General features: G+C 41.1%; 1 pseudogene, besides 1 other annotated feature; it reads right to left on the bottom strand.

Annotated features, from left to right (window-relative positions):
* Positions 1-118: 118 nt before the first annotated feature.
* The window catches only part of LOC124902904 (liprin-beta-1-like), a 98657-nt pseudogene continuing 72801 nt past the window's right edge, over positions 119-25974 (bottom strand).
* Positions 19887-19936: an enhancer, noted in NCBI's record as "active region_6133". NCBI's record gives its function as "activates an Ori minimal core promoter by ATAC-STARR-seq in GM12878 lymphoblastoid cells {active_cell/tissue: GM12878}" and the evidence as "EXISTENCE:reporter gene assay evidence [ECO:0000049][PMID:35858748]".

The following is a 25974-nucleotide window of genomic DNA, read 5'->3' as shown; positions in this document are numbered from 1 at the left end:
ACCAGCAGAAGCAGCACCAATGTCACTGAGGTTCTTGGAATGATACGAGGAGCAATAGTGATGGTTAAGTCTCCCCAATTATAAACATATTTTTTGCTCAAGAATTTATGTAGCAGAATGCCTTAATACAGATTAAACTTTATTGTTTTATTTATTTTAACCTTTGAAACACTAAATATAACTCTCTTTTGAAGTATATGATTGTATAAGGATTTAAGGAAGCTGTCCCTAGAAAAAGTAATGTGAGGATTTAGAAGGGTGTATTCAAACTTGTAGACTAGCCACTCTTAGACGAGAAGCCACAGCGCCACTGAGTGAAAAGAGGGAAGAATCGGTGTATACAGGTTGACAGCCCAAAAGAAAGGCAATGGCTCCTGAAAGCGGTAACAAAGGGAGGGAAATAATCTAGAGCAGGGTCTGGCGGGGGCACCAGAATCTGGGTGTCCCCTCTGATTCCAGCTAGAGATCAATGTTCACCCAGGCAGATCCTGGAGCTGTGATCAGGGGATAGGTCTGCTGCAAGTGGCAATCATAGCAGCACCTAAAGCAATGGCCAGAATGGAGGAGCCCTCATCCCAGTGCTGCAGTCCAGGGAGTAAATGCCTAGGCAGTCTGCCACTTTGCTGTTAAATACCCATTTATTTTTGTGCTTCGAAGGAGCCGCCCATGAATGTTCCAGTCACTGTGTGAGTCAGTCTTGTTCCCCAAGTGCTGCTGCAATGCTACAGCCATCCCACCCTCTCCCCCTGCTTCCCGGACTCCATCTGAGACACTGCTCAATTCCCCTGGCTGCTGTTGAGCTAGGGGCTGGGCTGGGGCTCACACTCTGACACTAGGTAGAGGCCCAGGATTGCAGAGGGTGGGAGGATGGGGGAGACCTAGGCACTTGAGTATGTGACGAAAAGTGGCATTCAAATCCCTGAAGAAATGGCAGGATCTTTAAAAAATATTGGGAAGATTGGCTAGTAATTAGCAAGAAAATATTAAATCCTTACCTCATTGCACCAAATAAATTAGACAGGCTAAAAATTTACATGTGAACACTTTAAAACACAAAAGTAAAATAATACAGGGGAAAAATAATGATAAATAATGTTGAGTACAATTGAAAACTTCTGTGTGGCAAAAAAATCATACACAAAGTTGAAAGACAAATGACAAACTCAGGAAAATATTAACAATACTGTCCAAAGGCAAAGGGTTAATATCCACACAATAATAAAAGAGCTTACATAAATCAAGAAAAATTAACAATCTAATAGAAAATAATGGGTATAAGTCACAGATAAATTAAAAATGCAAATGGTCAACAAACATGGAAAAATGTTCAATTCACAAATATTCAGAAGGCAAATTAAACAATAATGAAATGATTTTCATCTATCAGACTGGCAAAGATCTCTAAAAATTGATCAAACACATGCATTGACATGGTTAGGAGAAACACACACTTTGTGTTTTTTCCGCGGGTATATAAAATAGCACAACTTCTCGAAAGGGCTATCTGACAAGAAGTATCAAACATAAGATGTGCAGACTCTTCACTGCAACAATTCTACTTGTCAGACTTTACTCCAAAGAGATAATACAAATTTGAAAACAGGTACTCACACTTTATTTATACTTTTGAAAAACAGGAAACAACTTCAGTGTTCCTCAGTAGGGGTTGGCTAAGTAAATTGTGGTCTAAGCATCCATGGAACACTATGCAGCCCTTAAAAAGAGTGACGCAAATCTATTAGGTTGGTGCAAAAGTAATTGCGGGTTTCAAAAGCTGAATATATAAACACAGAGAGATGGCTTCAATTATTGATACCTTGAGGCCCATTTATTCAATGATGTCAATTGTTATCCTTCCTCATCAGCAGAGTTTCTGATCATTCTACTATTATTATTATTGTTATTGTTATTTGAGACAGGGTCTCACTCTGTCACCGACTGGTGTGATCTCAGCTCCCTGCAGCCTCGACCTCCTGGGCTCAAGTGATCCCCCCAGCTCAGCCCCCTAAGTAGCTAGGACCACAGGCACACGCTGTCACACCTAGCTTAATTTTATTTGTTTATTTTTTTGTAGAGACAAGGTCTCAGTATGCTGTCCAGGCTGGTCTCAAACTCTTGGCCTCAAGCGGTCCTCCTGCCTTGAATCCAAAGTGCTGGGATTACAGGCATGAGCTGCTGAGCCTGGCCTCTACCCTTAATTAAAGACTCTGGCAACTGACATATAGTCTTTCAAACCACTATCATCCAAGGTTACTTAAATATCTGTGTGGACATATCATCCCATTTCTAGTCTCAGGAAATTTTGAATGCCTCATTTTCAATAAAATGCAGTAGATTGATACTCTACAGTCACATGCTCTCAAGGCCACAGTACACACAAACTGCCTCATCTCTAACATTACTAAATCAGGTATCCCTCTCTCTAATCACAGTCTCTTATCCTCTCAACTGGCATGCCTAACTGTCATAATACATTTGTTCCCTTTTTACTTCAGGTCCTCTAATCCACGCCCCCATTCATCTTAGACTTAATGATCCATCATTTCACACTTTCTCCTGCCAATATTTTAAGTACCTTCGCCTCATTATTCTCACTGCATCTGCAACAAAAGCTCCTATCCTTTGTTTTTGTTTTTCATACCTAGGCTGCCAAGCACTGCTAGATGATCACATCTTGGTAGACAAGTATAATGATACTTATCCGGGCCCTTTCCGACTAGGCCCTTTTCTTGGGTGCAGTTCCCTCAAAGGCAGAGCCTGAGACAAGGATCTGAATGTAAGTGGTTTATTTGGAGATAAACCCAAGTAAAAGAATGAACAGGAGAGAGAGAAGAGAGACAGAGACGGAGAGGGAAACGGGACAGAGTGGAGGAAACCAACACAGGGTGTGTTGATGAGCAGATTACTACAGTGGGCTCAGTTCCACTGGAGACCTCCAAGAGCCCACCTGTGAGTTGGCCCCCATATTTCTCTCTGTCATTGGTTGAGAATGGCTCTCGGTGGCATTAACTCCCTTTTATTCCAGGCTGCCTTATGCACAAGTCACACAAGCTCCCAGCTAGAGAACACCCCCCAGGCAAAGCTGTAGGTGCCTGCAATAAAAAGCTGTCAGCATGTTTGTACCTGAACCATGAGTGCCAAGGGGATTCAACGGGGCACCAACAGCACATGTTGCAGCCATCCTGTTCCAGTCTCCTTGACGTGTTACCCTAGTTACCCTCATCCCCCCTCCCTACAACCAGCTCAAAATTCCTCTCATCATTGCAAATCTCTGATGCTCTTGTCTCCTCACTCTCAGCAGATGACCTTGTCTCCTAGTTCACAAAGGAATATTGAAGATCTCAGAATGGAACTTGCCAAGTTCCTGCCAACAATTCTAACATGCCGCCCACATCCATACCCATCACTTCTCCCTCCTCACCTCTTCATTAGAGGATGCATTTCTCTCTTATCTAAGGCCAAACTTCTCTGCCTATTCTTGGTCCTGTCCCTTCCAGCTGCTTGGCCACTCTCCTCAGTTGATTGCCTCGTCTCCCTCGTGAGTCTTCAACGACTGTCTCTCTCACCTCCTCTCTCCCATCTTAAAACAAACAACTCTCGGTCAAATCCACATCCCATTCCATCTATTGTGCTGTCCCTCTCCTCCTCTCTCCCATCTTAAAACAAACAACTCTCGGTCAAATCCACATCCCATTCCATCTATTGTGCTGTCTCTCTCCTGCTCTTTACACCAGAGTTTATTGAAATAGTATCTTAGACATGTGGCCTCCAGTCTCCTCTCATTCATTTCCAATCAGTCACAGGTGATCTCCCTGTGGCAGAAGTCAGAGGACACCAGTCCTTATCCCTCTTGCCCTTTCAGCAGCATTTGACTCTGGACATTCATTTCTCCCCTGGACTCCCATTGGAGTGATTCTTTTGATTTTTCTCCTTTCTCTCTGGCTCCTCCCATCTCAGTCTCTTTATTCACCTCTTTGATGATGCTGTTTTCAGCTCTCCAACCTTCTTCACCAGTGGCCTTACCCACTTCTACACCATTAATTATCATGTCAAGGCTGATGATTCCCAGATCTACAGAAACAGTCCAGGTTTCCCCCCTGACTTGACCTAAATATGCACTTGCTTAACGCTCACACTCTGTTCTGTCATTTTAACCAAGTCATTAAATTTCCCTTAACCTACGTTCTTGGGCAAAACATGGAAATGAGAGCAACTACTTCTTTATTTTGAAATAATTCTAGAGTCACAGAGAGTTACAGAGATAGTACAGAGAGGTCCCCTGTACCCTCACGCAGTTTCCCCCAATGGTTATATTTTATATAACTATAGTACAATATCAAAACCAGGAAACTGACATTAAAACAATGTATATAGTTCTCTGATATGTTATCAAGTGTAGATTCATGAAACCACTACTGTAATCAGGACACAGAAGTATTCGGTCACCACAAAGATCCTCCTCATTTGCTTCTTTTTAAAAATGTTTATTTTTTTTAAATCCTCATCAGATCCTTGAGAGAAGGGACATACATATAATTTTGCCATGTGTTCTCAGTGTCCAACATGTGCTCTTAAAAGGCATTGCTAAATGTTTGGGAAAACAAGAATGGAATAAAAGAAGGCAGATTCCATCTGTGGAGGTCACAGACATCAGCCTGGGAGCCAGGACAGACCATGAAACCTCTTAGCTCCATACCAGGAGCCAGGAGCCAGGAGCCTGAGGACAGAGGCTTCCTCCCCAGATTTACATCCTGTTGAATGAGATGTTGGCAGACACAGGCTAGAAGTCGGAGTGGTGAGGCTTACCTCACACTCATTCCAACAATCACAGCCCCTGTCTGTAGCAGAGAGGAAGGACTTTTTCAGTCCAGGACCTTTTTTGGAAATCTCTCACATCACACCACATGGCCAGTTCCCCACTCCAGCTATCTGATGCCTGCCCTGCTCTGCCTGACATCACTGGCACATTCCTGTGCTTGCTGGCAGCACCCAGGAGATCATCCCAACCTCTGCTTTTTTGCTACTCAGCCAGCATGTGGGACATTTGTCTCAAGGCTCAAGAAAAGTGTTTGGTCCTAGGGCATGATTTAAAAATTATGCTTAACAGTAATTGCCCTTAATAGGTCATATTTGTTTGCTCAGTAATTATCATAGTCAATAAGTGAACTCTGAAACTAAGAAGAGAGGCAAAACATAGAACAAAACAGCTAAAAAATGCAAAGACAGCTACACATATGTTCAGGTTATAAGCCCTATATAGAACGTGTGTGTGTCCGTGCCACCAAATTAGGTACTGTTGGAGTGAAAAATAAAGGAGTATTTATCCAGCAGTGAGCTATGTTATTATATTATAATAGGCTTTAATTAGAGAGAAAGTCAAGTTTGTGTTCCCTTAATAGCCTGGTTAAAGTCTCTGAAATTAGAAAACTTAGCTTAGAATCTTTGTGTCAGCAATGAGCAATCTGTGTTGTCCATTCTGCAAGTCTCAAAGGGCAATTATTTGATTTACAAGCCAGAAACTCATTTATCAGTTGTAGTTTATAAACTTGGTGCAGCAATTTGTGAGTTGACGTCATGCTTATAGCAGGGTGGTTTGGAAACAGTCCACATGGGGATTCATTTCATTTCCTTTTCTTTTTTTTCCTTTTTTTAGACAGGGTCTCACTCTGTCACCCAGGCTAAAGTGCAGTGGTGCAATGACAACTCACTGCAGCCTGGACCTCCCAGGCTGAAGTGATCCTCCAGCCTCAGCCTCTTGGGTAACTAGGACCATAGGCACGCACCCACCACACCTAGCTAATTTTTTATTATTTTTTTTTATGTTTGTAGAGACAGGCTGGTCTCAAACAGTCCTCCCACCTCAACCTCCCAAAGTGCTAGGATTACAGATGTGAGCCACTGTGCCTGGCTGGATTTATTTTCAGTAGTGGAAGTGAGAGGCATGGAAATAAGGCAACACCTGGGTCCCTTGGTCTTGAGAAACTTGGAGATTTGGAAGCACAGTGTGTCTTGTACATTGAGTAGAGGGCCTGACTGATCTCATGTCAGAGTCCCTCTGATTTTCAAGCTCTACATTCACAGAGAGCACACACAGAATGGATGGGCATGTGTGGAAGTTCAGGGATCTTTGTTTTGTTCACTGGCATTTCCTCAGTGCTCAGAATAGTGCATGGTGGGCTCTCAGGATATTTTTGTTGACTAATTATTCAATACTTAACAATGTGTGCAAAGGAGAAAGAACAAATCAATAGCTATTCAGTTGCCAACAAGCCCAGAGTGTCACTCTCAGACTTAGCCACAAACTTTGCTGTTGGGTCACAGCAAAATGAAAGAGGAGAGGGAAAAACCAGGAACCAGAAGAGTAAGGACTGAGGGTGAACCGAAGGAGCTCTGGAAACTCTGTGGTCCAGGCCCAGCGTGGTTTGGTTTAGATGACAGGTTGGTTCAATCTAAAGTGTGGGACACGTCAGTGGGAGTTCCAGTGACAGGCTAGAATCAAAGTCAGGTGGATGGAGAGTGGGTCAATCCCAGCAGAGCCCAGCCAGTGGCTGAAGGTATCAGAGAAAGGACTTGGTTTTATAGGGGAGGGACCTGGCAAGAACTAAGAACATTTGAAAGGGCAAAAGAACTAGAGTGCAGGGCTATGGAAATGATCAAAGTGCAAACATAGTGCGTTAACATGGTAGGTGCCTGGGGAAGGCTGTTATCTGTCCAGTCGACATGGATGCCCAGGGCTTCCTAGGTCTTTGCTGGCAAGTCAGATTCTAAGGGTCAGCAGCTGGACAAGGGCTGATGATAGTGTAGGCAGGGCCAAGCCTACACATAAAGGAGACCAGATCAGCTCTCTCACTGCACGCTTCCATTGTATCCTTAATATGCTTTTGGGCAACACTACTTACACTTGCAATTACCTCAACAGCTTTTGTACCTTGCTGGTATATGAGGGCGGGCATTGTTTTTATATTGACTACCACTATATCCCCAGCACAATACTTGGCACATGATGCGCACGCAGTGTGACTAAAGGAAAGAACTGGGGCCTGTCTATGGAAGAGGCTTGCAAAAGCAGAGATGGACTCTGAGACTCAGCAGACTTACATCCCAGCAATATTTCTCAACTCATCTACCTCTTACTTCTTTGCAAGGGTCAGGACTGGAATTAAGGAGAAGGAAAGTACACCACAGTCATGACCTGCCCTGTAGAGCAAAGCTTAACAGGACAGCTCTGCTATGCTGCCCCTGTTGTCCTGAATAGCACCAGATTTTCTGTTGCAATTACACAGTTTAGTCTTTGAATAGTGCATTTTCATGCCAGCATTTTCTTCTACATTAAAGAAGAGAGCTAATAAGACAGTATGAGGGTCCAAGGAGAGGAAAGGTGAGGAGTAGAGAGAGGAATGAGAGAAAGAAAAGGAAGAAAAGTAAAGATCTCATTATCATTTGCACCAGGACTGGATTTGGGCTGTTAATGGCTCTGCTTCTCAGTTACTGCCCCAACCTGCCCATTGCTGACTTCTACTCTCCTACGATGCTGCAGTGGCAACAATCACCTCAGGAGAACCTCCCAGAGACAAACAGCCCTGCCCACCACACAGCAGAGCAGCAGCCAGTTTTGTTCTGACCTCCTGACTTCCACACCTCACATGTTAAAGTTCAGCTCCACTGCACTTGCTCCTCTCCTAGGACTTTTCTCCTTGTAGCATGAGCATCCCTGTCAGTGAGACAGAGCTGGATGGTATTAAACTCTAGAACGCCTCTGTAGCCAAAGCTAATAAACAATGGAAAGAAGGGTGGATGGTGGAAAAGAAAGATTCTCTGTGTGTATATGTGTATTTTTAAACTAACAGGAAAAACATTGCAAATGGAATTTCAGTAGAACAAAATCTTATCCAACAGGAAATTTTAAATGATTCTAAGAAATACCAAAGAACGCAGACTGTTTGCAGAAAAACCAATGGATGACAACATTGCCTCTAAAAGGACTTGCTGTTTGAGATAAAAAAAAATAGCAAAAACTGGCCTACACCCACAAAGCAAATAGCTGTAAGGGATGATGGGAACAAACTGGAATGTGGAATTCTTTGACCCACATTTTTACAGCAAATAAAAATAAAGGATTTCAAATGTAATCCTAGGAGGGTAGGGGGAAAGAAATCAAAGAAACCAAATGACTTAGAACTAGCAGAAATAATTTCCGGAAAAAAGAGGCTCTGGGCATATATGGTAAGGGGAAAAATATCAGTATCTCATTCAGATGTATTGATCTCTTAGGAAGGGATTTGGACTTTTCCTCCAAACACCTTCTTCCAGTGAAGTTAGTGCTCACTGGAGCCCACATGGGAAGCAAGAAGTTAGAGCTTCCAGAAAGTCCACTCACAGACACAGGTGGTTTTTGAGTCAAGCCAAGGGATGTGTTAACCAGCTTACTCTTCTAGGTAGTAGAATGCCAGTTACAGGCTAGGCACAGAGCAGGAGAGACAGGGTATCCTTGGATTGTAATCCATTTTAAGAATTTCTATAAATACAATATTTACCCTCAAGGCATGCTTTATTGGTTTAGGGTCATGCTTTCTTTTTGAATGACAAAAGTAATCCAACACAGAAATATCTAACCACTGTGCAAAGGAGATATGAACATATACTCCATTCATGACACATGATACAAATGCAAAATACAGTTTACCAGAGGGAACCTTACAAACACAGAAGTAGCAGAGCTCATGCAATCCCGCAAGTTATCTTTCCCAGGAAAAGCATGCTTAGACTGGGACTAGAGAGATATAGTCACAAAAGGACCTATTCCACAATGCTCTACATACATATAGAGAAAGGTGATCATGTACCAATGGGAGCTTGCAGATCAACCTGTTCAGAAGGGAAGCTATTCCTCATCTCTAAAAGAAAGATAATAATTGTACTTACTAGCTGGGTGCGGTGGCTCACGCCTGTAATCCCAGCACCTTGGGAGGCTGAGGTGGGTGGATCATATGAGGTTAGGAGTTTGAGACCAGCCTGGCCAACATGATGAAACCCCATCTCTACTAAAAATACAAAAATTAGCCAGGCATGGTGGTGGGCGCCTGTAGTTCCAGCTACTCAGGAGGCTGAGGCAGGAGAATGCCTTGAATCCAGGAGGCGGAGGTTGCAGTGAGCCAAGATCGTGCCACTGCACTCAAGCCTGGGTGACAGAGTGAGCCTCTGTCTCAAAATAATAATAATAATTGTATTTATCTCATAAAGCTATTAGAGAGATTAAGATAATTAATACTTATAAAAGATGTAGAACACTGCCTACACATAGAAAGCAATTTTTCAATTAAAAAATATGTATCAAATACCAACTATGAATCAAGTGCCATTTTAAGGGCTGAAAATGCAATGGTGAAAATGGAGCTTCCATCTAGTGGGAGTGAAGATAATAAACAGCACAGCGTATAATACAATGTCATGTAATAATAAGCACTCTAAAGAAAATAAAGTGATGGGAATGCTTTTTGTACATAGGTTGGTAAGGAAACGCCTCTATGAGGAGATGACACTTGAAGAAGACCTGAATGGAGTAAGGACACAAAACATGTGGCTATCTAGGGGGAAGAGTATTCTAGGCAAAGGAAACAGCATGGGCCAAGGTCCTGAAGCAGGAGCATGCTCAGGGTATTCCTGGGATAAGAAGGCCGGGTTGGGCACGGTGGCTCACGCGTATAATCCCAGCACTTCAGGAGGCTGAAACGGGTGGACTGCTTGAGGTCAGGAGTTCAAGACCAGCCTGGCCAACATGGCGAAACCCCGTCTCTACAAGAAAAAATGCAAAAATTAGCTGGGCCTGGTGATGCATGCCTGTAGTCCCAACTACTTGGTAGGCTGAGGCAGGAGACTGCTTGAACCCTGGAGGTGGATGTTGCAGTCAGCTGAGATCATGCCACTGCACTCCAGCCTGGGTGACAGAGCCAGACTCTGTCTCAAAAAAAAAAAAAAAAGAGCTGTGAGCAAAAAATATTGGGAAATGAGATCAGAGAAGTAGGCAGGGGCCACATCTTGCAGGGACTTGTAGGCTATGATAAGGACTTTGGATTTTGATTAAGAATAATGGTAAGCCATGGGAGAGGATTAAATGGTGAAGTGACATTATCTAATTCATGTTGTGGAGGGATTGTAAGAGAAAGAAAGTAGAAAGAGTTGTTAGGTAGCAATACTCCAGATGTGAGATGATGGTGCCTTAGGCTGGGTGGTGCCACTATTTGTCCTGAGTGACAGCTGGCAAGTATGGTGACGCCATTCTTTCAGATGAGAATCATCCAGGAAGGAGCCGTTGGGTTGGAGGTATTCAAAAGTTTGGTCTTGGACATGTTAATTCTGAAACATAAATTAGACATCCAAACCCAGTAGGCAGCAGCAATGAGATTTACAGCAGTTGACCATTCATCAAAATAATGCTGCAGCAAGCATTCGCCAAGATGGGTTTGAGGGCCTGTGTGGGGAGCACTGCAGGACATTGGCAAGGACCTATGGGTCAATGGCAACTACTATGGATGTCAAGGCATTGGCTCCCTTCAGGAAGACTGAAGGAGAAAGGAAGGAGCATGGCTCAGAGGCCCTTCTGGAGTGGTGTGAACTGCAGTAGGGTGAGGTGACATCAGCTGCATTTGGGGAGGTGGGGGAAAGGGGTTTCTCAGCTGGGTCCAAATAGCTCCAGTGTCTCACTTGGGATTTTGCTCTATTTATAGCTTCTGAGGCTGAGGGTGGGGGGATGAGGCAAAGATCAATCACTTAATATTTCTGAACCTCCTGCTTTTATCTTTTAAGGAAAACAGACTATTCATAGTAATAAGAGCTAATCATTGAATATTTTTCTATATATTGCATACTGTACTAATCGCTTTATAAGCACTGCCTCATTTTATCTTAACAATATGCTGGGAGGCAGATGTCAGCTTATAGATGAGGAACAGATTTAGCGAGAACAAGTAACTTTCCCTGGGTCACAGAGCTTGCATTTATTTATTTATTTGTTTATTTATTTATTTATTTTTATTTTTATTTTTGAGATGGAGTCTTGCTCTATCACCCAGGCTGGAGTATAGTGGCACGAACTCAGCTCACTGCAACCTCTGCCTCCCAGGTGCAAGCGATTCTCCTGACTCAGCCTCCCGAGTAGCGGGGACTACAGGCATGCCACAACTCCCGGCTCATTTTTGTATTTTTAGTAGAGACAGGGTTTTGCTATTTTGTCAGGCTGGTCTCAAACTCCTGATCTCAGGTGATCCACCACCTCAGCCTCCCAAAGTGCTGGGATTATAGGCTTGAGCCACCATGTCCAGCCACATAGCTTTTAAGTGGTTAAGAGACAGGGACTAGAATTGAAATCCAGATAGTCTGACTCTAGAGACTGCTACAATGTTCTGCTTCCAGCTGTCATGTACTATTTCTCTAGGATAAAAGTCACACCTCACATATGTGTTAACATACTTCAGAGCCCTCCGCAGGAACACTGGCATGATTAATTTAGGTGCCTTAAGGCAACAGCAGCTGGCCAGCACCAAATGACTTGTTAAACTAAATAGTGGCTCCCAGCCTCACCATGGACATTCAGATGTCCATGTCCTAAACTCTGTAACCTGTCGCTGTTACATTTATGGCAAAAGGGATTTTGCAAATGTGGTTAAGTTGGCGATCTTGAAATGGGGAGATTGTCCTGGATTAGCCAAGTGGGCCTGATGTAATCACAAGGGTTCTTCTAAGAGGGAAGGTAATGTGAAGGTGGAGGTAGAGAGAGATAGAGATTTGAAGGTGATGCTACATTGCCACTTTTGAAGACAGAAGAAAGGATCATGAGCCAAAAAGTGCAAGGAAAACAGCTCTAGAAGCTGGAAAAGGCAAGGAAACATATTCCCCTAGAGTCTCCATAAGGAAGCACCCTGCCAACACCTTGACTTCACCCAGTGAAACCAATTTTAGACTTCTGGCTTTTGGAATTACAAAAGAATAAATTTTTGTGTCTTTAAGTTGCCAAGTTTGTGACAATTTATTATAGCTGCGATAAGAAACTATTAATAATATGAATGGAGTGGGGTGGCAGGCATGGCAGCTACTGGATGAGGATGTCAGGGAGAGCTAGAACTAGTGCGGTGGTGAAAGCCCCTGGACATATTCAAGGATAGAATGGTCTGAGAAAAGGCTAAGAAGTAGCCACAAGCTGTTCAGCTGAGGATAGCTGCAATTTCTAACACATCCCACAGAAGGCTGGGCTTCTGGAAAGGTCAGGATAACTATTTAAAGGATTGTTGAGTCAAAGGAACCTCTGCTGGTCTGACCAGGCTTTCTTCATGGTGCAGGACTGAGGAGACCATGCATCCACTTGGTGAGATGGGGACCCAGGTGCTTTGCTGGTCAAGCAGTGGCACCTTGGCTCAGCACACAGCACAGTGTTTTATACATAATGGGGCCCCCTTAAGGTTTGTCCCTTGTGGACAGCGTGACTCAGAAGTAGGAAACACATACACATATCCACCCGCATACATACACATCTCAGAGTTGAGACAAACATTTTCTCATTCTAGATTTCTAAATAAGCCCTAAAAATAAAAGCCCTGAAAAAAATTCTACCCAAATGTACAGGATTAAAGAATAATAATCTGATGTAGGGCGTGGCTTTTCTCTAAGGAAATTCGTGCCATTTATCACAGATACTCAGGTCCATGAGCACTCCACCCACAGCAGTGGGAAATGTCAACGTTAGCAAGGAGAAGTTACCACTGTACCTGATTTATCATGGCCTCTGGGGTAAAACTGCAAACATATGCTATATTAATTAGCTTTAATCAACCATTGTGTAAGGAATTGAAATACCAATACTCTATCATTTTTAAACAGGGCAGTCTGAATTTCCTAATGTTGGCCTCTGGAAAGACTACTTGCCAACACACTGGGAGTATTTCTTGATTTGCTCCCAAGGAAAGCATTATTCACAGAAAGACATTTTAGCATTTCAGAGCTCTGGAGCCCTTAGTTTCAAACACTCTTGGTTTGAGTGACACTGAGTCAGAACTTAATGGTTTTTGGCCTATAGTCAGCAAGATTTATGAATCAGACTCCAGATACAATGCCATTTCTATTATTAACTTCTTTTTACTGATTATAAATACTGTGCAAGAGCCCGTGGCCTGCAGTGCCACAAGGTCCATCTCAAATGCTAAGGTTCTCACAGTGGTGGTCACACAGGCATTTCCTTTACAGTATCCAGTTCATACTCCTGCTCCAGCTGTGGTTGGTGGTGACAGAGGCAGTGATGTGAGGTTGCTGCTACAATAGCAGGGAGTTTCCGGCCCCAACCAAGATTAGAGGTGCAGGCAGGCAACCCCAGCATCAAATGGTATAACTGATTTCATAAAGCTATGAAAAGGAAGTCAATCTGGGAGAGAGGTAGACTCTGGCAAAATGTAAGTGTTACATTTACCCCTCACCTGATGAACTCCTACTCACACTTCAAGGCTCAATTCAGATGTCTGATGAAGATACCATGAGATTGCATGACAAAGCTTAGCAGAATTATGGGAAGGGCTTCTTCCACACCTTGGCTTAGAACAGAGATGGTTCTGGGGTAACACAGACTGACGGGAAGACAGTAGCACCTGAAGGGATAAAAAAAAATTACGGTGTATGTCATTGTAGAAAACATAGGAATGCAGAAAAGTGTACAATAAAAAAATCCAAATCACGCATAATAGAACCACATGGATATAGAACTATTAGCAATTTACTGCATTTTAAAAGGTATTTTATTTCCAGACAATTTTTTAATCATTAATAAATTATGGCAAATCCATATGATACAGCCAGTAAAATCAATTTTTCAAGAATATTTAATGACTTGAGAGAATGTTTGTGATACAATAAAAATTCATGTTGTACTTTTTTCAGTATGATCTAAATTTTGTAAAAAGAAAACATATACACATCTGCATATATACATTTAAAACTGCTGAGGATTAATAAACAAATGAATTATAAATGAAAAATAACTGCAAATTCTTTGTCACTCTCTAAGTCATCCCAGCCCACCCCTGAGTTGGGGTCTATTTCTTTTCCTTCTTGAATCTGTTTAGGCCTGAGACTGATTTGACCAATAGAATACAGGATAAATGATTCTGTGATAATTCTGGGCCCGGCTTTTTAAGAGGACTGGAAACTTCTAATTCTTCCCTCTTGGAACTCAGCTGCCAAGCTACGAAGAGACCCAAGCAGCTATGGAGGAGCCATGTTGAGGATGATCATCCCCTTTGGCCAACAGCTGTAGCCGGCACTGGCCAGCATTCCTGCCAGCTTGCCAGGCATGTGAATGAACCATCTTGAAAGTGGGTCCTCCCTCCTCCAGCGAGGAATACACAAATGGTGTATTTCTGTCGGCTAAAATCAGAGATCTTTGTGACTTTTCCTCCTTTGTTCATTGTATTGCTTTCTTCCACTTAGCTTCTTCATATGTCAATATTCCCTTCTTCAATTTTTGATAATATGCCTGGATGATTAGTTAAGATGATTTCTCATTAGAAAATGCTGTGGGAAAATACACATATATACACATATTTTATGTAAGTGGTTTCCCAGTTTTCAGCAGTACAATAATCATTTTTAACTAGGAAGACATACTTTTTTCAAAGACTTGTCCAAAAACATACCAGGTTGCTGTTTGGTGCAATAATCAGGTATTTATTAGAGAGAAGTATAAAGGCATGTGAGAGGCCGTGTGCCTCTGACTATCTGATTCAGGTCAGGTGAAGGTTGGCTGTGTTTTCTAACTCAATAAATGGACTGTTTAATAAAAGGTAATTTAGCCAAGTGCAGTGGCTGACACCTGTAATCCCAGAACTTTGGAAGACCAAGCCAGGAGTTTGAGACCAGCCTGGGTTACATAGCAAGACCTCGTCTCTACAAAAAATTTTAAAAATTAGCTGGGCATGGGAGTGTGTGCCTGTAGTCCCAGCTACTTGGGAGGCTGAGACAGGAAGATTGCTTGAGCCCAGGAGTTCAAGGCTGTAGTGAGCTATGATTGAGCCACTGCATTTTACCCTATACAACAGAGCGAGACCCTGACTCTTAAACAAAAAAAGGTTATCTGCCTAACGTATTCAGCCATACCAAAGCCAGGGGTGCCAACCATATTGTTTCTGTCTTTTGGAATCATTCCAAGATATAGAGCTCTGAGAGAGGATATTCCATGCTGTAAGACCTTAGTAGCATAAAACATTCCCCTGTCCAGAATTGCTTTGAAAATTCTGACACCTCTCCCCGCCAAAAAAATACTGGACAATAATACATTCAACATCACATTAGGTCTGAATATGAATAACTCATTTTAATTACTTGCATATATTTAGTACAGCATTACACAATGTTCACATGCCTGCTATTTTAGGAACAATAAGACTTTGAACTTAATCCTTAATGCTTTTGCCTTAAATCCAAGATAGGACAAATTTGGACATACGTCTGCAGGACTACTCCTCACTCCTAGGAGGAAGGAGATTCTTCAGAATCAGCTCTATTCATGTGTTTGTAGTAAGCCATCTCTGATTGTTTTTATTCACAATACTTCTGACACCAAACATGGGGTTTTCACTCACATCAATCCATTCTCTAACTCTTCGAACACCAACTAAGTGTTCTACAATTCAATTCAATTCTGACACCATCTACCCAGAGTGAGTGCAGACCCCACAGGTTAAGGGCTTGGTCCCACAAGACTGTTCCCACTTCAGACACCAATTGCCAGTTTGGGCCATTCATACTCCTGAGCAACTGGTTATAAAGTAGGGGGATTCCTACAACCCTCTCCTCAGGTTCACAGACCTCAAGACAGTGCTTTACTTACTATTCCCAGTTTCTTACAAAGGATACAATTCAGGAATAGCCAAATGGAAGAGATGCACAGGGCAATGTATGGTGGGGTGGGTGGGGATGGGGGAGGAGTTTCTAAGCCCTCCTTGGGTCCCCACCCTCCTCCCAGCACTTGGATGTGTTCACCAACCCAGAAGCTCTCCAAACCCCATTGTTTAGGGACTTTTTGTTTTGTTTTTGTTTTGAGATGGAGTCTTGCTCTGTTGCCCAGGCTGGAGTGCAGTGGCTCACTCTCAGCTCACTGCAACCTCCGCCTCCTGGGTTCAAGCGATTCTCTTGCCTCAACCTTCCGAGTAGCTGGGGGTACAGGTGTGCGCCACTACACCCAGCTAATTTTTGTATTTTTAGTAGAGACGGGATTTCACCATGTTGGTTGGCCAGAATGGTCTCGATCTCTTGATCTCGTGATCCACCTGCCTCGGCCTCTCAAAGTGCTGGGATTACAGGCGTGAGCCACCGTGCCCAGCCTGTTTAGGTTTTTTAATGGAGACTTCATTACACAGGCATCATTGATTAAATCATTGGTGATTAGTGAATGAACTCAAACTCCAGCCCCCTTCCCCTCACTGGAGGTTGAGGGGAGTGGGAAGGCTGAAAACTCCAGCCCTCTTATCACATGATTGGCTCCCCTGGCAACCAGCCCCTATCTTGAAGCTATCTAGGGGTCCACCAGGAACCACCTTATTAGCATAAATTTAGGTATGATTGAAAGGAACTTGTAATGAGTAACAAAAGATGCTTTTATCACCCCTATTGCTCAGGAAATTCCGGGAATTTTGGAAGCTATGTCAATAACTGGGAACTGGCGGGGCATGGTGGCTCATGCCTGTAATCCTAGCACTTTGGGAAGCCAAGGTGGGTGGACCAGAATTTCAAGACCGGCCTGGGCAACATGGCAAAACCCATCTCTATAAAAAAATTGTAAAAATTAGCCAGACATGGTGGTCCATGCCTGTGGTCCCTGCTACTCAGGAGGCTGAGTTGGGAGGATCACCTGAGCCTGGGGAAGTTTAAGCTGCAGTGAGCTGTAATGGCACCACTGCATTCCAGCCTGGAGGGTACCTGTCTCCAAACAAAAAATAAACAAACAAACAAACAAACAAAAAGAACTGGAACAAAGACCAAATACATATTTCTTTTTACCACACCATCTTTCTGAGTTTTCCTTTAATAGCCCATGAACATAAACTCCCCACCCTCATAACTGTTTCTTTCTTCAGGGAGAGATACAAAACTTATTTCTTGGGTGAAGATCTCCACTTTAAGCTGCAGATTCACATTACTGTGCCCTTGGCAATATTAACTCATTCATTCATTCAGACAGTCAGTAAATTTTTTTTGAGGCATTGTTTTAGGTACCGTTCTGAGTGCTTCAGGTTTAGCCATGAATCAAAAAGACAAAATCTGTTCTCATGGAGCGTAAATTTAGTGGGGGTAATCCAGTCAGTGAAAAAATGAGTAAACAAAATAATTTCAGGTACTGCTATGAAGAAAATATAACTCAGTGATGTGCTAGAGATTGTCTGGGAGACTACTTTAGATTCCATGCCAAGGGAAGGCTCTCTGGCAGGGGGTCTACAAAGGTAAGCCACCCTTCCCCATCCCATCCTGGTCTGACAAGGAGGGGTTGAGAAAAACAAGCAGAACTTCTCTGTGTAATATGCAAAAAGCATTTTTCAATGCTTGTGGGGATGGGAAATAATCTTAGGGAGATTCTTTTCCTGTGAACTGATTTCTTTTCCTTAGAATGAATCACTATAGTTCAAAATTCCAGAAAAATTATAATCTTACGAGATCTTATAAGAACCCATCTCCAGCTCTTCTTAAATTTTGAATTTTCCTTCAGACATTGTTTCTGTTGTGTAATGCTTCTATCTTATTTCCTTTTTTGCCTTCTCCTCTGATATCCCATTAGAAATAGAGTCATTTACTATTAAGTCTGGTCAACCACATGCATTTTGAAATATTTACTTCCCAATAAAAGTTAGATGAGTAATTTACATCTAAAAAGAGCTTCTACCACTGAATATCTCGGTCATCACTTGTAAACATAACTTATATGACTTTGTTCACTTTTTTTTTTTTTTTGAGACAGGGTCTCGCTCTGTCTCTCATGCTGGAATGCAGTGGTGAGATCTCAGCTCACTGCAACCTCTGCCTCCCAGGTTCAAGTGATTCTCCTGCCTCAGCCTCCCGAATAGCTGGGATTATAAGCATGTGCCACCACGCCCGGCTAATTTTTTTTTTTTGTATTTTTAGTAGAGACAGGGTTTCACCATATTGGCCAGGCTGGTTTCGAACTCCTGATCTCGAGTGCTCTGCCCACGTCGGCCTCCCAAAATGTTGGGTTATGGGTGTGGGCCACTGCACCCAGCCAGTTCACTTTTCTTTTGCATTAATGGGCACCATGATATTTTGAAGAGGGCACAGAGTGGTGAAAGACCACGGGCTTTGGGGTCAGGTCTAGCTTTGAGTCCCTACTCTTCCATTTGCTGACTGAGTGAATGTAATCAAGTTACTTAATCTTTTCTGGATGGAAATCGTAGCTACATTTTAGGGTTATAGAATCAAAGATACTCAATGAAAATTGTCTGGCAAACACTAGGCACTTAATTCACAGAAGTTATTACTATTATTCTAGTCATGTTCAGTAATTGATATAAGCTCTTGGATTCTATATATGGTTTTTCTGACATTTCCACTTTTGCCTTTTAAAATCTGCTATGAATGTACTTGTAAATATAAACCTTGTGTCTTCCAAATGCAAAGGGGAAAAAAACCAATTAAGATTACATTGAATAGAAGTAAGTGTGCTGGAATTAGAGCTATGTGATATTAAACAGATTAATTTCCATGGGCTGTTGATGCAGTCATAAGCCTAAAATAATTTGGCAGAGCTAAACCAGACTAGCAAAAACAGACTTCTGAACTGGCACATAGCACAAAAGGTAGTTCTCCTTATGCCCAAATATAGATGTTGACTCATGCAGGCTGGGTTAAACATCTGAGGAACAAAGTGGTATCACCCAAGGAGGCAGGATGACATCATTCTGCAAATGTTTCTCGTCTGTCTGGTTTTGGGGATTAGACCTTTTTAGCTCCTATTTCTCATAATTTCCATTGGTTGCTCTTAAATACTACCCTCCTTGAGAGATGCAACATCAGCTCCTGCCTATCTTTAAATTTCCTGTGCATTGCAAGTATTATTTTTCCTTGTCTGACATGGTATTTGGTTTCTACCTTACTAATTCTATTGAAAGTGGTCTCAAAGGAGCCACTAAAAATGGTCTAGTTGCTCAACCAAATAGCTTTCTTTTTCGTTTTCCTCTAGATCTGTGTACGGTGTTTGACACTGCTGATCGATTCCTTTTCCTTATCACTCTTTTTCTTTGCTTTCTTATGCTTGTCTCAGGATTCCTTTTTTCAAAAGGCAGTTCTTAGGAGCCTCCTTCATAAATTTCTCTTCCACAACCCGCCACGAGATGTTCTCCAGAGTTACAATTCAAGACCTTTTCCTTGTTCACACACTCTCCCTGCCAGCACATTGCCCTGTGTCCCCACTCTTATGCACCTTCCCCCAAACTCAACCTGTTCAGGTCCCTGAACCTGCCCCAACTAAGAACCTTCAATTTTCTCCATTATTTTCACAATAAAGCCCAGGCAATCTTAGAAGACCGTTAAATGCTTTATAACTGGGTCTTAGCAAATCTTTAGAGCTTCATCCTAACCACTGATGTTCTCTGCTCCTGCTCATGCTGTTTATTTATCTCTCTCCTTTCTGCTTTCCACAAAAATCTTGGAAATCCTCCAAGATCCAATTCAAATGTCACTTCTGCAAAATTTCCCTTAGCACCTTCCTCCCTGCTCCCCTGATGGAATTGGTGCCTTCATCACAGTTCCTATATGATTTTTTTGTTTGTTTGTTTACTAGTGTAGCATTTCCCACATTTTATTACTATCTGGTCTGGACTTATTTGTTTGTTCCCTTAAATGGTGATTTCTTGAGAGAAGTGACATTAACGTCTTTGTCTTATTATTATTCATACTACTCATCACAGTACCTTGTAGATAACTGTGTTCTCAAGAAACTTTTCTTGATTTGAATTTAACTTATTTTTCAAAGATCAGTCTTCTAATCAGGTGCAGTTGCATTGCTACTTAAAAGGAGAGTGAAAGAGAGAGAGAATCTTTGTCATCAGCTCATTGTATCTTAACTGTATTTAGGCTTTCATACCAAAGCTCTTTTCTACTCTCCATACATAATTAAACTGTGGGCAAAAGAAAGGTGTTCCATGCTATGTACAACCAACTCCCTGGTCAGCTAAATTCTAGTGCAGAATCATCGGAAAGAATCGGAATGTCTAACTTACTATATGGGAATAAAGAGTCTACTTAATTAAGTTGGATAAGCTCTTCCACGACATCAGTATATCATTTAGTACATTTCTTCTCCTAGGAGATTAAATAGGGCCTGGATATATGTTATAATAAATGCACACAAGCTCTAATTTTGTTCAGCCAAATAAATGGTTACTTAAAACTAAGCCTGGATAGACTCAATTGTATCATGTAACTAAGCCAGACAGAAAAAAAGCCTTATTCTAGTGGTTGTGAAGTGCACTGTTTTTCTACTTTCAGCCACTCTATTTAGCCAAGATCTACTTCACTAATGATCTTTACTTCACCAATGAACAAAAAGAAGGTTGGAGGTTTTATAAAAGAAGAAATGTTACTTATTGGTTTTTCTGTTTGTTTGTTTTCTGAGACAGGGTCTGAGATAGGAATATTTAGTGCGTTTTTTAAAACTCAGGAGATCATAAAGGCAACAGAAAAAAAAATCTGTTGTGAATGATGAAATCTCTACTGCTTAATAAGCCTGCATACAATTTATAATATATATTTCTATTAAAATAATTGATAGCATACATTGAGCAATAGCATGTATATGTTAAGCACTGGCTCAATACCTTATATGGATTATCTCATTTCCCCACAATAATCCCATGAGGTTGGAACTATTATTATCCCCATTTTATAGATGAGGCAACTGAAGGTCAAGTAACTCCCTAGTGTCACAGAGCTACTAAGCTGTAAACTATGAGTCAAAGTCTGACAATCCATAAGCAATGTGGCTAAGGAAATGTGGCCAGGCAGGTCTTACTCTTTGCTTGTGCATTTTTTTCCAGCCCAGTCTTAAGATTCTTAAATCCTTAAGGACTGATGCTTTGTCAGTTATATCTACAGAAGACTTTTATCTCTTTTTGAAATATAAAAAGAAAAGGGAAAGGGAGAAATGCAAAGCAAGTCAAATTATATGAATGCACAGTTTTCTGCTCAAACTTTGGTTGATAGCTACATGTGGTTAAGTGGAAGCTGTGCTCAAAGTTCTGTAGGTCTTTCACAGAGGGTCTGGCTGCGTCTTAGCAGAAATAAGTCTCCTTTTTCTGGTTCTTCCCTCTGCCTTCCCAGAGGAGCTCTATAACATGGAGCCCAGGGGGCTTGAGTACAGAATTATCAAGCACTGCCATGTAATTATTGTATTTACACAGACATTTCTTTTGTAAGCTGACATTTCTCCTTCTCTTTTTTCCAGTGTCTACCAGAAAAATTCCTCCATATTGTTTTTGAAGAGAATGAGCCAAAACATTAATGACTTATTAACCTATCCTCTTTTTAGCAGAAGTCTTGAAAACAGTACTGAGCCTATTTCCAAGATAGGCTACTTGCAAATATTTCTTTACAGCTGCCAGTTATTATTATTGTGGCATGATCAGTCTGCTCCTGAGAAAGGTGGCTTCCTACATTGTGTCTCCAAGAATAAATGTTACTAACATTAACAATAATCCATCTGAGGGTGTGGGAAAACAGATATCATATATTGCTTGTAGGAGTATCAATCAATTGGTAAAATTTTTCATAGACAGCAATTTAGCAATAGCTATTGACATTACAAATGTACTTATGATCATACTGATGATTCATAAGTGATTCACTGTAGCATTATTTTGTAACAGGAAAAGATTGCAGTCTAAATATCCATTCATAAGGTACCTAAATGCAGACCTAAAAAAGATTGAGAAAGCTCTATGGGTAATACAGAATGACATCTAAACTCTGTGTGGGGGGGGTGTGTGTGGGTGGATGTGTGTGGCTGTTTATATACAGTACTGTGCTGGTAAATATGCAACAACCAGCCCCACAAGTGTAGATTCATAAATGCTGGTAGACAAAAAAGATGAAAATGAAAAAGACATATTTTGGAGCTTCACTGGTACATCAATGACATGCATGATCTCTTTGCTGAATCAGATATTAATTTCAAATACTGGAAGGATAACTCCTCAACTTTTTGTTCAGTTATTCACAATGATAAACTTTGAAGTTTAATTTGTATTATTAACATTTTTATCATCATTTTCTTAAGTCTAGATAATCAACAAAAAATCAATAGATAATCAACAAAACAAAAAATAGATTATCAACAAAACAAAAAATTAAGTCCTGATTTGTATCATTTGCTGAATTCTGTGGTGAAAATACTCCCAAAATAGCCAGTTTCAAGATATCAACATGTCATCATGGAATACAGAGTTGGGAAGAGACACGCATATCTCTATGTGCATCGTTATATAGTATTTCTACCATACGGATACAGCAGATGCAAATAATCTCAAGAGCACAGATAATAGTGAAATGTAGTAAAATGATTTGGAAGTGATTAATTTTTAGTAGTTATTAGCTTTTTATAACTTATTTAACTTATTAAAGTAATAAAGTAAGTTATTTTTAAACAATGGCTGTGTTTAATAACCAACTCACAAAATTCCTATAAATTAAACAATTGGCTCTCCTGAGTTGGTGTGAGCCAGAGCCAGCATACCACTGTGTGTATAATTAATTTAAATTCAAATTAACAAATTCAATGCATTTATGTATTCAAGAAACAAATATTCATTTAGTATCTACAACGCAGAATGGTTGCTGCCCTCTTGGAACAGGGTCCCAGCAGAAAACAGAAAGCATTCTGTATGCTTTCTGTTTCCTTAAGAAACAGAAGGAAAATTCAATGAAGGGACTATTTACAAAGGTGTAAACAAGTTTAAGGAAATACAAAGAGATGCTGACACGTCTGTGAATATATGAGAAGATATTCAGATATTAAATTGTATACTTTAAGTGGGTAAGTTGTATGACATGTGAATTATATCTCCATCAAGCTGTTTTAATAAGAGAGAAAGAGAGGGTGATTCCCCCAGGGATGAACTAGCAATGGCAGGGAGTCATTAACATTCATATGGCTTATGGGGCAAGAAAAGGAACAGTGTTATCAGAGATCTGTGAGAGATGAAGACCCAGAGGAAGGGCTACCCAGCAAGAGCTGTGTTTAAAGAGAGACTTAATCACTGCCCCAACTGTAGCTCTAAAGCAGAGGGAGTTGGAGGGGTAGCCCAAACAGTCTCCTCTCCTGCTCTTCAATCTCCTATTGATGTCTCCCATTGGCCAAACTCAACTATAAGTGAGAGGGCAAGGGAACTTGAGAGATGCATTTATAAATGTCAACTCCCTAGGGCACAGAACAGATCCATAAGGGGTGGATAATGGATCTGAGGGCAAACAGAGGAGAGTCAGCACATACACACACACACACACACACACACACACACACACACACACACACACACACAGAGTGTTTTTGCCAATATGGTATATGTATAGAATATCTCTAGAAGAAACACAAGAAAATTATTAACACTGGTTGGCTTCAGGGAAGGAAGAAGATAGAAAAACATAGGCTTTTCACTGTATAACATTTTGTGACTTTTCAATTTTGAACCATGTGAATATATTACCTATTTCAAAAAATAAATAGCATTTAAATTTAAAAAATTAAAATAAACCAAAACCCAAGTGATTTTGTGGCAGTCATTAAGGCTGTTCACAAATACACCGATTCTTCTCTCCTGAACACAGAGTAGGATTATAGTTCTCTAACCCTGTTGAAGTTAGCTGTTGGCCAATGTCTTATTTGACAAATGAAATATGAGCAGAACTAACTAACATAGGTCTCATTCAGGCAGAAGCCTTAAAAGCCAGTGCATTTATTGCCATTTTCCCATTTTCCTGCCTCAGGAAGTGTGGAAGCATCTATCTAGATGGAGTTCCTGTTAACCAGGGTCTATGATTTATAAGGAGCACACACCCACCCTTCCACAACCACTTCACTACAATGAACATGTAGCATAAGTGAGAAATAACCATTGTTGCTTTAAATAACTGAGCTTATGGGATTGTTTGTTACTATCATATACACTAGCCTATCCTCACTGATACAGGATTGAACAGGTGACTCCTGACATTATTTCCAAATCCAAAATACAAGGTTTTTAAGAATATTTCTATTTAGCCTCTTGTATGAAAAACAATCCACATATTTCCATCCACAGAAACATTATTGATTGTAATGATGGTATGAATATTAATTTATGAATATTAATACCAAGCCTAAATTTAGCAACTTATATCAGAGCTTCAAAAATACACACCTTTGGCCAGGTGTGGTGGTTCATGCCTGTAATCCCAACACTTTGGGAGGCCGAGGCAGGCAGATCACCTAAGGTCACAAGACCAGCCTGGCTAACATGGTGGAACCACATCTCTACTAAAAATACAAAAATTAGTCGGGCATGGTGGTGCACACCTGTAATTCTAGCTACTTGGGAGGCTGAGGCAGGAGAATTGCTTGAACCTGGGAGGTGGAAGTTGCAGTGAGCCGAGATTCCACCACTGCACTCCAGCCTGGGCAACAGAGCAAGACTCTTTCTCAAAACAGAACAAAACAGAAAAACAAAACACACCCTTTGACCAAGCAATTCTACTCCTAAAAATTAATTCTAATGAAATAGACAACAATAATGATGAAATTTTATTGAAAGGTTGTTATACCCAGGTGCTATTCTAAGTGCTTTGTATAAATTAACTTAGAATGTTTATAGCAATCCTATGATACATAACCTATTATTATTACCTATTTGTATTACACTTTTATACAATAAGACTGAGGCTTAGAGATGTTAAGAAACTTATAAAAATTCTGTAACTATCAGGTAGAGTATTTGGAATTTTCATCTATCAGCTTGACTCCAGAGCCCATGCTTTCAACCACTATGATATAATTTACTGCTACTTCTTTTTTTTTTTTTTTTTTTTTTTAAGATGGAGTTTTGCCCTTGTTGCCCAGGATGGAGTGCAGTGGCGCGATCTTGGCTCACTGCAATCTCTGCCGCCTGGGTTCAAGCAATTCTCCTGTCTCAGCCTCCGAGTAGCTGGGATTACGGGCACCTGCCACCACGTCCAGCTAATTTTTGTATTTTTAGTAGAGACGGGGTTTAACCATCTTGGCCAGGCTGGTCTTGAACTCCTGACCTCGTGATCCACCAGCCTCGGCCTCCCAAAGTGCTGGGATTACAGGAGTGAGCCACTGCGCCCGGCCTACTGCTACTTCTTAAATAGATGTGTGTTAATCATAGCATTGCTTTAGAATAACAAAAGAGGGAAATAACTTTAATGTCTAAGTGTGAGAGAGTGGTTGAATCAATTGTGGTAGCACTATGTGATAGAATACTATACATGCACAATCATTTTTAAAAATCACAAGGAGGCACATGAAAAGATATTGTGTCAGCAAAGATGTGGAGAAAAGGGCACCTTTGTACACTGTTGGTGGGATTGTAAATTAATACAGCCATTCTGGAAAACAAGATGGAGGTTCCTTGAAAACTGAAAACCATGTGATCCAGCAATCCCCCCTCTAGGTCTGTATTCAAAGGAACTGAAATCAGTATGTGGAAAAGATGTCCACACTTCCATGTTCATCGAAGTGTCGAAATCAAATAAAATTTAGAGATAAATTGCTAATTCAAAACATTTTCTTTGGGAAGCAAGAATTGTAGTTCAGGACATACACATAGACTGGGTGGTCCTCCTTGAGTATGCCTGAAGAACAAAAAGAAGGTTGAAGGTTTTATAAAAGAAGAAATGTTACTTATTGTTTTTCTGTTTGTTTGTTTTCTGAGACAGGGTCTG

This window comes from Homo sapiens, chromosome 12 (genome assembly GCF_000001405.40).
Source record: "Homo sapiens chromosome 12, GRCh38.p14 Primary Assembly".
NCBI classification, from domain to species: Eukaryota; Metazoa; Chordata; class Mammalia; order Primates; family Hominidae; genus Homo; species Homo sapiens.
This window is presented reverse-complemented; position numbering and strand designations above follow the sequence as displayed.